General features: G+C 42.8%; 1 protein-coding gene and 1 long non-coding RNA gene across 10 annotated transcripts in view; one reads left to right on the top strand and one right to left on the bottom strand.

Annotated features, from left to right (window-relative positions):
- TMEM45B (transmembrane protein 45B) overlaps positions 1-4,843 on the bottom strand; it is a 44,156-nt gene extending 39,313 nt beyond the window's left edge. For 8 of the 9 annotated variants that reach the window (XM_047426354.1, XM_047426355.1, XM_017017188.2 and 5 more), the window contains exon 1: positions 4,793-4,843. The gene's annotated coding sequence lies outside the window, so the exon portion shown is untranslated. Of the gene's footprint in view, positions 1-4,399 lie in introns of all 9 variants that reach the window. The other variant, XM_047426356.1, reaches the window with a different exon arrangement.
- A 1,160-nt stretch (positions 4,844-6,003) lies between these two features.
- LOC124902793 (uncharacterized) overlaps positions 6,004-15,323 on the top strand; it is a 52,972-nt gene continuing 43,652 nt past the window's right edge. Inside the window, exon 1 of the long non-coding RNA XR_007062952.1 lies at positions 6,004-6,723. This is a non-coding gene — a long non-coding RNA (uncharacterized LOC124902793). The remainder of the gene's footprint in view (positions 6,724-15,323) is intronic.

Genomic DNA, 15,323 nt, shown 5'->3' with positions numbered 1-15,323 from the left:
TAAAGTCGCTTTTGCTAAACTACCTGACATTCGGTGTTTCTCAAAATGTATTCCCGCAACCACCTGCCCTCAGATGACCTGGCGTGCCCGTCCATAATGGAGAATTATAGACCCAGCCCAGACCTACATAATCAGCAGTTCTCAGAGTGGTCCTTGCACTCTACCATTTAAAAAAGTTCCCCTGGACCCACTGCATTACCCATTGCTTTTTAGTAAAACAAACAAAAAACCAAAACAAATAACAACCTATTTAGAGACAGGATCTATGACTCATAAAACACACTATGGCAGATGCTGCTAGCTGCCTACCCAATGTTCATTCTCCCCCCGCCTTATTAACAAAATTCCTATTTTGTTGTTATTATTATTTTTTTGAGATGGAGTTTCGCTCTTGTTGTCCAGGCTGGAGTGCAAGTGGCATGATCTCGGCTCACTGCAACCTCTGCCTCCTGGGTTCAAGCGATTCTCCTGCCTCAGCCTCCTGAGTAGCTGGGACTATAGGCGCCTGCTAGCACGCCCGGCTGATTTTTTGTGTTTTTAGTAGAGATGGGGTTTCACCATGTTGGCCAGGCTGGTCTTGAACTCCTGACCTCAGGTGATCCACCCGCCTTGACCTCCCAAAATGCTGGAATTACAGGCGTGAGCCACTGTGTCTGGCCCAAAATTCTTATTTTGATGTATTGGCAACGTGTCTGTCTCAAACACTAGATTCTCTCTGGTTCCGTCACCGTTAACAGTGTGTATGTGATATGGTTCTGGCCAATGACATGTAAGAAGTCTTTTGGGGTGGGCTACCAGAAAAGCTGTTATTATTATTATTTATTATAAAGAAGGACAGGCCAGGCGTGGTGGCTCACATCTGTAATCCCAGCACTTTGGGAGGCCGAGGGGGGCAGATCACAGGGTCAGGAGTTCAAGACCAGCCTGACCAACATGGTGAAACCCCGTCTCTACTAAAAATACAAAAATTAGCTGGGCGTGGTGGTGCACGTCTGTAATCCCAGCTACTTGGAGGCTGAGGCAGGAGAATCACTTGAACCCAGGAAGCGGAGGTTGCAGTGAGCCGAGATTGTGCCACTGAGAGAGACTCTGAGTCAAAAGAAAGAAAGAGATGAGACAGAGAGAGAGAGAGAGAAAAGAAAAGAAGAGAGAAAAGAAAAGAAAAGAAAAGACAAGACAAGACTCTTCTGGAGCATGCCTCTGCCCGTCTTTCTGCTGCAACTTGCGGAAGTGAGTATGAAAGCTCCATGCTAAGGAGGGTGGTGCGGGAAGACACAAGGAGCCTGTCTCAGATGACGTTCATATCGGAACCCCTTTCCCAGCCCCAGCCTTCTCACCTCCAGACTTCTCGTTCTCTGAGAAAAACAAACTCCTTACTTGTTTAAGCCGCTGTAGTAGGGTTTTCTGTTCTTGTAGCTGAATGAACGTCTAATGACATCTCACACTTTTTCAGATGTTTATCTGACATACCACATTTTATGTATGCCTGCTATGGGCACTGTGCTAGGAATAAGACAAGTAAAGCTCTCTTTGTCATGGAACCAGGAGCACAGTTAGAACAGAAGTTAGAACTTTAGCCACTATAATAACGGCTACAGTTATAATAACAGTTAGAACAGAAGGTCCATAGGCATTTGAGGCTGGGATTCAAGGAGGTTATGTTTGCTGTCACAGACCTCAAACCAAAAGAGTACATCAAAATAAGTCACTGGATTTATACATTTGGCAAATTCTCAAGGGACCACATGACAGAAGGAGCAAAAATCTGAACATTGTTTTTAGCTGTAATTCTCCAATGAAGTAGATTTGGGGAAGCAACATGAGGTACTTGCTTTATTTTTCTTAAATCCGGTTTTCTTCCTTGAAAAACCACAAGATTGGACTTGACAATCTTTAAGGTTATACTCAGCTCTAAGATATTTTTGTAATTATATGGAACAAAGATGGGCATGAAATATACCAAACGAGAGAGTTTCTAAATTTAGATTCTGATAATTCAAGTCAGAAAACATATTAAGTGTTCGGGAAAAACAAATCACAATCTTCCATCACAAAATTCAACAAGAACAACAAAAACCACTCCAGAGGCAGCTGTGGTATTCTGGAAGGAATGTTGGTTTGAGTTCTGGCTCTGCCATTTAATTACTGGCTAACCCTGGACCACATACACAATATCTCTGTTTCCATCTCCTCATTTTTGAAATACGGATTCTAATCTGACCTGAACAGTGCTGTTTACAAACATCGCCTTGTGCTCTATAAAGCCCCATTATGATTTCAACAACCAGCAAGATAATGGCTTATGATATCTAAGTCCTGGCAAGGAGAATGCGGGTGTGTACCTTGCTATATTCAGTTGAACTCTGCATCACATACAGAAGGCTGATAGACCTTTTAGCTTTCCTTTTTCCTCCAGTAGTGTAGCTTGTGGCCATTTAAGTTTTACACAAGAGAATAGAAAAGAGAGATAAAATTTGCTAAAATTCAAATAGTCTATTTGTGTTTGTTTCTAGCCTCAGTGAAGGTTTTGGGGAGAGGGGTAGCTGGTTAAAAGAGTAGAAGCTTAAGAGTTCAAAGAAAGTGTGAGGAGGACAGCACTCACCTGTGGCCTCTAATTGTTCATATTCAGTATGGTCTCATACTGGGAATAATCTAGTGTTTGTCTTATGATCTTTCTATAGAAACAAATATGGAATGTGTCTATAAGTACCATTAGTTGATGACACACTAGTGACTTTAATTCTCTTACAGTAAAAAGTTTTGCAATAGCAAGGACTTTGGCTAGGGGAGTGACTCTATGTGTGGTGAAACTGTCCTCACCCATTTTTCATTTGAGGAAAAGAGATAATCTTTTGATTACACCCAACACAGGTAACATCTGTACTTTGAACAGTTAAGTATAGCAGCTGATGTTTAACTGCAGGTAGGGGGGAGATGAGAAACAGAAATAACTGGTGCCAAATGTGAGATTCAATTACCTCGACCATCACAACCAACATCAACCAGAAGGGTGTGGGAGGAACTCATGGAATAAATGGGAACAGGTGTGGCCTGAGGATAAGTAAGTGGGGGCACTGTTTCCATCTTCATGAAGATGTGAGAGGAAATCAAAGCTCTTTAAAAAGAAGGAAATGGAATGCTTGGCTCCTGTAATATCAGAACAAATAATGCACAGCCAGAGGTCATGCCTCACCTTCTGCTTATCTCAGTCACCTCCACTTGTAAAATCAGTGGGCCATATTCAATAAAACCTTCATATCAGTTCCATATCTTTTCCCAGAAACCCCAGGAACAGAGGGAGCCAATATCCTTATTAAACCAAGAAGCTCACTGTCACAAAGAGCTAAGTCTGACGCCCCTGGGCCCCTACCTAACCACGTGTCCTGATTCTTTCCATAACTTCCCACTGCACAACATCCAGGTTATACTGAAGATATTACACATCTGGTTAAAAACAGTACACGTCTCTCATGAACAATAAGCCATCCTTTCTATTAAAATGAGTGTAAAATTGCAGGTAAAATGCTGTAGGCAGGCCTGTTTGGAAGGCTATGCGACCCTAGGAGACAAAAAGGTGCAGGAGGAGGAAAAGGGCAGACACCGCAGAAAGCGGTCGAAGAGAACGTGAAAGAAGTGGCCATTTCTAGCTGGGCGCGGTGGTTCACGCCTGTAATCCCAGCACTTTGGGAGGCTGAGGCGGGTGGATCATGAGGTCAGGAGATCGAGACCATCCTGGCTAACACGGTGAAACCCCGTCTCTACCAAAAAAAAAAAAAATACAAAAAATTAGCCGGGCGTGGTGGCGGGCGCCAGTAGTCCTAGCTACTCGGGAGGCTGAGGCAGGAGAATGGTGTGAACCCGGGAGGTGGAGCTTGCAGTGATCCGAGATTGCGCCACTGCACTCCAGCCTGGGCGACAGAGCGAGACTCCGTCTCAAAAAAAAAAAAAAAAAAAAAAAGAAGTGGCCATTTCTGCAACTTTTAGGAGAGCTACCTGCCCTCAAATTTTGAAAGGGTTTCTATTTCTTAAAGTGCTACGTTTCCCTGGCTGAAACTCACATCTTTCTTCCCTCTAGGGCTGGATCAAAGCTTCAGAGGTTGTTTCTCTGGCCCTAGACAGGGCCACCCCCGCAAATTTCTCCCCCACTGCGCCTGACATCCGCTTCCATCCATGGCTCCATTAACGGAAGCTAAGCACTGGCTCGGGGGACTTTATCCACCGCCCGGTGTTATTAGATTCCAGGCTTCCTGGCCTCAGGAAAGGATCTGGCTCGTGTATTTGTGTATCGCAGCTAACAAGGAAAGGCAGTCGGTACCAGTGCCCAGAGCTATGTGAGCTGTGACTGGTCACAGCCCAGGAGCCAGATGGCATCCCCGGGGGCGCGCGTCCCCGGACTCACCGGGCAGACGGAGGCCCGGGGCTTCACACCTTCCCCTCACCGGGCAACGCGGCAGACCTGACTCGCGGGGGACTGAGCAATATTCGTTCCAGGGCCGCGGCCAGCCGGACAGAGGCACTCGGGGGCGGTGGGAGTAGTGTGCGCACCGGTTCCGCAGCCCGGAGGGGGCCCCAGCTGGGCTTCCGCGACACCAGGGCCCTCCATCCCCTCCCGTCCTCCCCTAGCGCAGCCTTCACCCCTGTCCCAGAGCCCCTCCCTGTCCGCGTCCCCTCCCCCGCAGGTCCCCTGCGAGTCGGAACCTCCTCTCCATCACAGCCCCGCTCCTTGGCGGGGCCCCCTCTCCCTTCGAGCCCTCCTCCAGGTTCGAGCCCCCTGCGGGTACGGACGTCTGACCTGTGCCCAGCGCCTCGCAGCCGTCTGCAGCCCGCGCCGCGCGCCAAGTGCGTCCGCCCAGAAGCAGGTGCAGCTCCAGGCCCGCCCCGCCCCGCTGCGCCCCGCCCCGCTCCACTCCGCCAGGCCTGGCAGCCGCCAGCCCCTTTCCACCCTTGACCGCCCTTCCCGGTCCCGGCCAGCGTGCGGGGCATCTGTCGTCAGGTCCGCACTTCCTCCAGGCCTTTGACTTTCCCGTGGAGATGTCTCTGGCCTCAGGAACTCCCTAAGCTGTGTGCTTCAGGAGAGGCTGGTTCCTGAGTCACCCAAGAGGACTGCAACCAACCTGGACCTCCTGAGATGCAAAGAGATCGCAGGGCCTGGGAGGCGGCGAGGACCCTGAGAACAGGCTGTGGCTCCGAAGAGTGTTTGTTACCAAGCCAGGCAACCACTGCGAACACACCGCAGAAACAGCCACGGATCACCGTCCAGCAAAGGAAGAAGGTGCCAACGGTCCATCAGGGACCACAACCCAGTTTTTTTAGTTTAAGTTTGGTGGCTAAGTTTGAGTGTCACATAGTTCATTCATTCCTTCATTCATTCAACAAATCTGCCATGTTCCCATCTGATAACAGATCTGACAGGTGGGCACTGTTCTAGGTGCTGGCGATAGAGCTAAGAAGGAAACAAAGTTCCTGTCCCGGAGAAGGGGGCTACCTGCTGAGGAGAGCATGACTTTCTTTGTGGTATTGTGCTGTGGCAGCAGGGTCCTCTTCTGTAAGCTACTGAGAGGTGAAACCCGCTGGGCTTCTGGGTCGGATGGGGACTTGGAGAACTTTTCTGTCTAGCTAAAGGATTGTAAAAGCATCAATCTGCACTCTGTGTCTAGCTAAAGGTTTGTAAACACACCAATCAGCACTCTGTAAAAATGCACCAATCAGTGCTCTGTGTCCAGCTAATTGGTGGGGACTTGGAGAACTTTTCTCTCTAGCCAAAGGATTGTAAATGCACCAATCAATGCTCTATGTCTAGCTAAAGGTTTGTAAACACATCAATCAGCACTCTGTAAAAACGGACCAATCAGCACTCTGTAAAATGGACCAATCAGCACTCTGTAAAATGGACCAATCAGCGCTCTGTAAAATGGACCAATCAGGAGGATGTGGGCAGGACCAATCAGGAGGATGTGGGCGGGGCCAATGAGGGAATAAAAGCTGGCCATCCGAGCCAGCGGCAGCTGCGTTTGGGTCCCCTTCGATGGTGTTGGGGTTTTGTTGTTTCGCTCTTTGCAATAAATTTTGCTGTTGCTCACCTTTTAGGTCCACACTACCTTTATGAGCTTTAACACTCACAGTGAAGGTCTGCAGGTTCACTCCTGTAAACCAGCGAGACCAGGAAGCCACCACAAGAAACAACTCTGGAGCCGCCACCTTTAAGAGCCATAACACTCACTGTGAAGGTCTGTGGCTTCACTCCTGAAGTCAGCGACACCACGAACCCACAGGGAGGAGCAAACAACTCCAGACGCACCACTTTTAAGAGGTGTAACACTCCCTGCGAAGGTCTGTGGCTTCACTCCTGAGGTCGGCGAAACTACGAACCCGCTGGGAGGAAGGAACAACGCGGATGCGCCACCTTTAAGAGCTGTAACACTCCCTGCGAAGGTCCGCGGCCTCACTCATCAAGTCGTGCATAGACCACGAACTCTCTAGAAAGAAAAAACTTCGGACACACCTGAACATTTGAAGGAACAAACTCCGGACACACCATGTTTAAGAACTATAATGCCGTGAAGGTCCGCGGCAGGACCGGGACCAGGAACTCTTCAGAGGGAACCAATTCCGGATACACAGCTTCGTGGAATGGTTCTGCACTGTGTGTGTGTGTGTTTCCCGTCAACCCTGTGCACACTATTAGAAGAACACAAGCGTTAAGGCTCCCTCTCAGTCCTGCCGGTAAGAATCCAGGGCTGATGCACCTATTAAAAGCTTCTCAGGAGGCCTGGGGAAGTGGGGGTTGAGAACCACGGGTCTAGATCTCTAAGATGCCTGGCAGCTTATTCCACTGTTGAGGGCACTGGCAATCAGGAAGGGCTTCATGGAAGAGATGTTTGCATTTGGGTTTTAAAGCAGGGCCACAGCTAGATATTAGCAGTGCAGAAGGACACGGGATCCGACGGGCAGCCTGTTGACCAAATGGCTCCGTTTTTATAAAGTCAAAGAACATCACTGTGAAGGATAAGGCATTAACTGGAGCAGACCTTTCCCTGGTAAAACAGAGCGAATGGGATCTGGTGGGAGGTGGTAATGGCCAAGAGGTAGTGCCGTCAGTGAAAAGCGTCATGGAGTCGTGCACCTTACAGGGAGGATGGGCCGCAGCCAGGAGCTGAGAGGGCATCTTTTAAATTTGCCGTCAGCTCAGGAACTTAATCACACATCTCATCCTAGCCCTTGCTCACACCCATTGTTTTAGAAATCGTTGATAGAGTGGAGTCCTGGATGCCTGTTACTCTGGGAGAGGCTGTCCTCTGTCACCAGATCCCTTTTATGGACAGGCATTTTCTTTAGTAATATTTACCTTGTCTACGATGATGAAACAAAGGTGTGACCTCTTAATTGTATAGTTAATGGTGAGTAGAGATGCTTTTTTTTTTTTTACTTTTTATTTTTGAGACAGTTTTGCTCTTGTTGCCCAGGCTGGAGTGCAATGGCGCGATCTCGGCTCACCACAACCTTGGCCTCCTGGGTTCAAGTGACTCTCGTGTCTCACTCTCCTGAGTAGCTGGGATCACAGGCATGCGCCGCCATGCCCAGCTAATTTTGTGTTTTTAGTAGAGTCGGGGTTTCTCCATGTTTGTCAGACTGTTCTTGAACTCCCGACCTCAGGTGATCTGCCCACCTCAGCCTCCTAAAGTGCTGGGATTAGAGGTGTGAGCCACCTCGCCCGACGGAGATGCTTCTTAATATTAAAAAATCTAAACAAAATAATTTCTGCTTCAAATTATAATAACCAGGTACCAGGACAAAACCAATTTTTTGTTGTGTGTGTGTGTGTGTGTTTGAGACGGGCTCACTTTGTTGCCCAGGATGAAGTTCAGTGGTGCAATCATAGCTCACTGTAGCCTCGACCTCCAACGCTCAAGAGATACTCTTGCCACAGCTTCCTAAGTAGCTGGGACTACAGGTGTGCATCAACACGCATGGCTAATGTTTACATTTTTAAAAATTGCAATAGTTTTTGGGGAACAGGTCATTTTTTTGTTACATGGATAAGTTATTTAGTGGTGATTTCTGAGATTTTTGTGTACTCATCACCTGAGCAGTGTACACTGTACCCAATGTATAGTCTTTTATCCCTCACCCTCCTCCCACTTTCCCTTGAGTCCCCAAAGTCCATTATATATATATATATATATATATATATATATATATATGTATGTATGTATGTATTTTTTTTTTTTTTTTGAGACAGTCTTGCTCTGTCGCCCTGGCTAGAGTGCAGTGGCGCAATCTCAGCTCACTGCAACCTCTGCCTCCCAAGTTCAAGCGATTCTCCTGCCTCAGACCTCTGAGTAGCTGGGACTACAGGCGCGTGCCACGACGACTAATTTTTTGTATTTTTAGTAGAGACAGGGTTTCACCATGTTAGCCAGGATGGTCTCAATCTCCTGACTTCATGATCCGCCTGCCTTGGCCTCCCAAAGTGCTGGGATTACAGTTGTGAGCCACTGCACCCGGCCCATTATATCATTCTTATGCCTTTGCATCCTCATAGTTCAGCAAACCCTTATAAGTGAGAACATACACGATATTTGGTTTCCCATTCCTGAGTTACTTCACTTGGAATAGTGGTCTCCAACTCCCGTACAAATTGCTGCAAATGCCATTACTTCAGTCCTTTTTATGGCTGAGTAGTATTCCATGGTGTAAATATATCACATTTTCTTTATCCACTTGTCAGTCGAGGGGCATTTAGGCTGGTTCCATATTTTTGCAATTGTGTATTTTGCTCCTATAAACATGCAGATGCAAGTGGCTTTTTCATATAATGACTTCTTTTCTTCTGGATATATACTCAATAGTGGGACTGCTGGATCAAATGGTAGTTTTACTTTTAGTTCTTTAAGGAATCTCCATAAAGTTTTCCACAGTGGATGTACTAGTTTATATTCCCACCATCAGTGTAAAAGTGCCCTTTTCATCACATCTATGCAAACATCTACTATTTTTTGACTTTGTAAATTATGGCCAGTCTTGCAGAAGTAAGGTGGTATTTCATTGTGGTTTTAATCTGCATTTCCCTGATAATTAGTGATGTTGAGCATTCTTTTTCATGTGTTAGTCATTTGTGTATCTTCTTTTGAGAACTGTCTATTCATGTTCTTTGCCCACTTTTTGATGGGATTATTTCTTTTTTTCTTACTGATTTGAGTTCCTTGTAGATTCTGCATATTAGTCCTTTGTAGGACGCATAGTTGAATATTTTCTCCCATTCAGTGAGGTGTCTGTTTACACTGCTGATTATTTTGCTGTGCCGAAGTGTTTTCATTAGGTAATATCTATTTATTTTTGTTTTTGTTAGATTTGCTTTGGGGTTTTTGGTCTTAAAATCTTTGCCTAAGCCAATGTCTAGAAGAGTTTTTCCAGCGTTATTTTCTAAAGTTTTTATGGTTTCAGGTCTTACATTTAAGTGTTTGATCCATCTTGAGTTGATGTCTGTATAAGGTAAGAGATGAGGATCCAGTTTCATTCTTCTGTATGTGGCTAGACAGTTATCCCAGCACCATTTGTTGAATAGGGTGCCCCTTCCCTATTTGTGTTTTTGCTTTCTTTGTTGAAGATGAGTTGGTTGTAAGTATTTGGCTTTATTTCTGGGTTCTGTATTCTGTTCCATTGGTCTATGTGCCTATTTTTATATTGGTACCATGCTGTTTTGGTACTGGTATAAATCTTGTAGGATAGTTTGAAGTCAGTTAATGCGATGCCTCCAGATGTTTTTTTTTTTTTTTTTTTTTTTTTTTTTGCTTAGTCTTGCTTTGGTTATGAGGGGTCCTTTTTGGTTCCATATGAATTTTAGATTTTTTTTTCTAGTTCTGTGAAGAATGATGATGGTACTTTGATAGGAGTTGCACTGAATGTGTAGATTGCTTTTGACAGCTTTCACAATATTGAATCTACCCATGAGCATGGGATGTGTTTCCATTTGTTTGTGTCATCAGTGATTTCTTTCAGCAGTGTTTTGTAGTTTTCCTTGTAGAGGTCTTTCACCTGCTTGGTTTTATATATATATATATGTGTGTGTGTCATAGATAGTTTTTATTACCTTGAGGTATGTCCCTTCCATGCCAATTTTTCTGAGGGTTTTAATCATAAAGCAATGCTGAAATAACATATTATATATTATAAAATAAAACATTATAATATATAATATATATAATACATATAGCAGCTGTTGTAAAAGGGATCGAGTTCTTGATTTGTGTCTCATCTTGGTCACTGTTGGTATTTAGTGGTGTTACTGACCTGTGAACATTGATTTTTGTATCCTGAAACTTTACTGAATTCATTTATCCAATCTAGGAGCCTTTTGGATGAATCTTCAGAGTTTTCTAGGTATACAATCTTATCATCAGTGAACTGCAATAGTTTGACTTCCTCTTTACTGATTTGGATGCCCTTTATTTCTTTCTCATGTCTGATTGCTCTGGCTAGGACTTCCAGTACTATGTTGAATAGAAGTGGTGAAAGTGAGCATCCTTGGCTTGTTCCAGTTCTCAGGGGGAATGCTTTCAACTTTTCCCTGTTCAGTATAATGTTGGCTGTCGGTTGGTCACAGATAGCTTTTATTACCTTGAGGTATGTCCCTTCCATGCCAATTTTTCTGAGGGTTTTAATCATATAGCAATGCTGAATTTTGTCAAATGCTTTTTCTGCGTTGATTGGGATAATATGAGTTTTGTTTTTAATTCTGTTTACTGGATATATTACATTTATTGACTTGTATATCCCTGCATTCCTGGTATGAAACCCACTTGACTATTGCTGTATTATCTTTAAAAAAATTTTTTTTATAAGTTATTGGGGTGCTGGTGGTATTTGGTTACATGAGTAAGTTATTTAGTGGTGATTTGTGAGATTTTGGTGCACTCATCACCTGAGCAGTATACAAGGCACCATATTTGTAGTCTTTTATCCCTTGACTGCCTCCTATTTTTCTCCCCAAACCCCCAAAGTCCATGGTATCATTCTGTGCCTTCGCATCCTCATAGCTAACTCCCACATATCAGTGAGAACATAAGATGTTTGGTTTTCCATTCCTGAGTTACTTCACTTAGAATTATAATCTCCAGTCTCATCCAGGTCACTGCAAATGCTGTTAATTCATTCGTTTTCGTGGCTGTGTAGTATTCCATCACACACACACACACACACACACACATATACTCACACACATATATATATATACACACACACACATATGTATATATACACGTATATATGTATATATATGTATACGTGTATATGTGTGTGTGTGTGTGTGTATATATATATATATATATATATACACACACCACAGTTTTTTTAATCCACTCGTTGATAGCATTTGAGTTGGTTCCACAATTTTGCAATTGTAAATTGTGCTGCTATAAACATGCATGTGCAAGTATCTTTTTCAAATAATGACTTCTTTTCCTCTGGGTAGATACCTAGTACTGGGATTGCGAGATCAAATGATAATTCTTTTAGTTCTTTAAGGAATTTCCACACTGTTTTCCATAGTGGTTGTACTAGTATACATTCCCACCAGCAGTGTGGAAGTGTTACTGGTTCACTGCATCCACACCAACGTCTACTGTTTTTTTGATTATGGCCATTCTTGCAGGAGTGAGGTGGTATCTCATTGTGGTTTTGATTTGCGTTTCCCTAATCATTAGTGGTGGTGAGCATTTTTTAATGTGTTTGTTGGACATTTGTATATCTTCTTTTGAGAATTGTCTGTTCATGTCCTTAGTCCACTTTTTGATGGGATTGTTTGTTTGTTTGTTTTTTGAGACAGTCTCTCGCTCTTGTTGCCCAGGCTGGAGTGCAATGGTGAGATCTCAGCTCACTGCAACCTCTGCCTCCCAGGTTTAAGCGATTCTCCTGCCTCAGCCTCCCAAGTAGCTGGGATTACAGGCACCTGCCACCACGCCTGGCTAATTTTGTGTTTTTAGTAGATACAGGGTTTCACCATGTTGGTCAGGCTAGTCTGGAACTCCTGACCTCAGGTGATCTGCCCACCTCAGCCTCCCAAAGTGTTGGGATTACAGGTGTGAGCCACCACACCCGGCTGTTTTTTTCTTACTGATTTGAGTTTGTTGTAGATTCTGGATGTTAGCCCTTTGTCAGATGTATAGGTTGTGAAGATTTTGTACCACTCTGTGGGTTTTTTTACTCTGCTGACTGTTCCTTTTGCTGTGCACAAGCTCTTTAGTTTAATTAGCTCCCAGCTATTTATCTTTGTTTTTATTGCATTTGCTTTCCGGTTCTTGGTCATGAAATCCTTGCCTAAGCCAATGTCTATAAGGGTTTTTCCAATGTTATCTTCTATAATTTTTATAGTTTCAAGTCTTAAAGTCCATGATCCATCTTGAGTGATTTTTGTTTAAGGTGAGAGATGAGGATCCAGTTTAATTCTCCTATATGTGGCTTGCCAATTATCCCAGCATCATTTGTTGAATAGAGTATCCTTTTCCTACTTTTGTGTTTTTGCTTGCTTTGTCAAAGATCAGTTGGCCCTAAGTATTTTGGTTTATTCCTGGGTTTTCTATTCTGTTCATTTGGTCTAGTGCCTATTTTTATGCCAGTACCATGCTGTTTTGGGGACTATGGCCTTATAGTATAGTTTGAAATCAGGTAGTGTGATGCCTCCAGATTTGTTCTTTTTGCTTAGTCTTGCTTTGGTTATGTGGGCTCTCTTGGTTCCATATGAATTTTAGAATTTTTTTCTAGTTCTGTGAAGAATGATGGTGGTATTTTGATGGGGATTACACTGAATTTGTAATTACTTTTGGTAGTGTGGTCATTTTCACAATATTGATCCTACCCATTCATGAGCATGGGATGTGTTTCCATTTGTTGGTGTCATCTATGATTTTTTTCAGCAGTGTTTTGTAGTTTTCCTTGTAGAGGTTTTTTGAATCCTTTGTTAGGTATATTCCTAAGGTTTTTTTTTTTTGCAGTTGGAAAAGGGGTTGAGTTCTTGATTTGATTCTCTGCTTGGTCACTGTTGGTGTATAGAAGAGCTACTGATTTATGTACATTAATCTTGTATCCAAAAACAAGATTCTTTTGGCTGAATTCTTTTGTCAGTTCTAGGAGCTTTCTGGAGGAGTCTTTAGGGTTTTCAAGGCAAACAGTGACAGTTTGACTTCCTCTTTACTGATTTGGCTACCCTTTATTTCATTCTCTCGTCTGATTGCTCTGGCTAGACTTCCAGTACTATGTTGAAGAGGAGTGGTGAGAGTGGGCATCCTTGTCTTATTCCTGTTCTCAGAGCGAATGCTTTCAACTTTTCCCTTTTCAGTATTATATTGGCTGTGGGTTTGTCATAGATGGCTTTTATTACTTTGAGGTATGTTCCTTGTATGCTGATGTTGCTGAGAGTTTTAGACACAAAGGGGTGCTAGATTTTGTTGAATCATTTTTTTCTGCATCTATTGAGATGATTGTGTGATTTTTGTTTTTAATTCTGTTTATGTGGTGTATCACATTTATTGATGTGTATATGTTAAATGGTCCCTGCATCCTTGGTATGAAACCCACTTGATTATTATGGATTATCTTTTTGATATGTTGTTGGATTCAGTTAGCTAGTATTTTGTTAAGGATTTTAGCATCTATGTTCATCAGGGATATTGATCTGTACTTTTCTTTTTTGGTTGTGTCATTTCCTGGTTTTGGCATTAGGGTAAGGCTGGCTTCACAGAATGAATTAGGGAGGGTTCCTTTTTTCTCTGTCTTGTGGAAGTGTGTCAGAAGGATTGCTACCAATTATTTGAATATCTGGTAGAATTCTGCTGTGAATCCGCCTGGTCCTGGACTTTTTTTCTTGATAATTTTAAAATTACCATTTTAATCTCACTGCGTGTTTTGTTCTGTTCAGGGTATCTAATTCTTCCTGATTTAAGCTAGGAGAGTTGTATTTTTCCAGGAATTTATCCATTTCTTCTAGGTTTTCTAGTACATGTGTGTAGAGGTGTTGATAGTAGCCTTGAATGATCTTTTGTATTTCAGTGGTTGTTGTATTTCAGTTGTAGTATATCCTGTTTTGTTTCTTAGTGAGGTTATTTGGATTTTCTTTCTTCTTTTCTTGGTTAATCTTGCTAATAGTCTATCAATTTTATTTATCTTTTCAACAAACCAGCTTCTTGTTTCATTTATCTTTTGTATTTTTTTGTTGAAATTTCATTTAGTGCTGCTGTGATCTTGGTTATTTCTTTTTTCTGCTGGGTTTCAGTTTGGTTTGTTCTTGTTTCACTAGTTCCTTGAGGTGTGACCTTAGATTGTCTGTTTGTGCTCTTTCAGACTTTTTGATATAGGCGTTTAGGGCTATGAACTTTCCTCTTAGCACCACCTTAGCTGTATCCTAGAGGTTTTGATAGGTTGTGTCATTATTGTCATTCAGTTCAAAGAATTTTTTAGTTTCCATCTTGATTTTGTTTTTGACCCAGTTCTCATTCAGGAGCAGGTTATGTAATTTCCATGTATTTGCTTGGTTTTGAATGTTCCTTTTGGAGTTGATTTCCAGTTTTATTCCACTGTGGTCTGAGAGAGTGCTTGATATAATTTCAATTTCTTAAATTTATTGAGGCTTGTTTTATGGCCTGTCACATGGTTTGGTTTGGAGAAAGTTCCATGTGTTGAACAGAATGTGTATTCTGCGGTTGTTGGATGAAATGTTCTGTGTATATCTGTTAAGTCCATTTGTTCCAAGGTATAGTTTAAATCCATTGTTTCTTTGTTGATTTTTCTGTCTTGATGACCTGTTTAGTACTGTCAGTGGAGTATTGGAGACCTCCACTATTACTGTGTTGCTATCTCATTTCTTAGGTCTAGTAGTAATTGTTTTATAAATTTGGGAGCTCCAGTGTTAGGTGCATATATGTTTAAGATTGTGATATTTTTCTGTTGGACAAGACCTTTTACCATTACATAATGTCCTTCTTAACTGCTGTTGCTTTAAAGTTTGTTTTGCTTGTTTTTGGTGTCCATTTACTTTGCACAAAATGCCTTTTCCCACCCCTTTACTTTGTTTATATGAGTCCTTATGTTTAACCTTTAGGTGAGTCTCCTGAAGGCAGCAGAAGGTTGGTGAGTTCCTATCCATTCCGTGGTTCTGTATTTTTTAAGTGGAGTACATAGGCCATTTACATTCAATGTTAGTATTGAAATGTGAGGTACCATTGCATTCATCATGCTCTTTGTTGCTTCAGTACTTTGTTTTTGCTTTTTAGCTTGTATTTTTGTTTTTTTAGGTCCTGCGTGATTTATGCTTTAAAGAGGTTCTGTTTTGA

The sequence above is a fragment of the Homo sapiens genome, chromosome 11 (genome assembly GCF_000001405.40).
Source record: "Homo sapiens chromosome 11, GRCh38.p14 Primary Assembly".
Taxonomy (NCBI): domain Eukaryota; kingdom Metazoa; phylum Chordata; class Mammalia; order Primates; family Hominidae; genus Homo; species Homo sapiens.
Note: the sequence above shows the minus strand (reverse complement) of the source record. Positions and strands in the feature narration are given on the sequence as shown.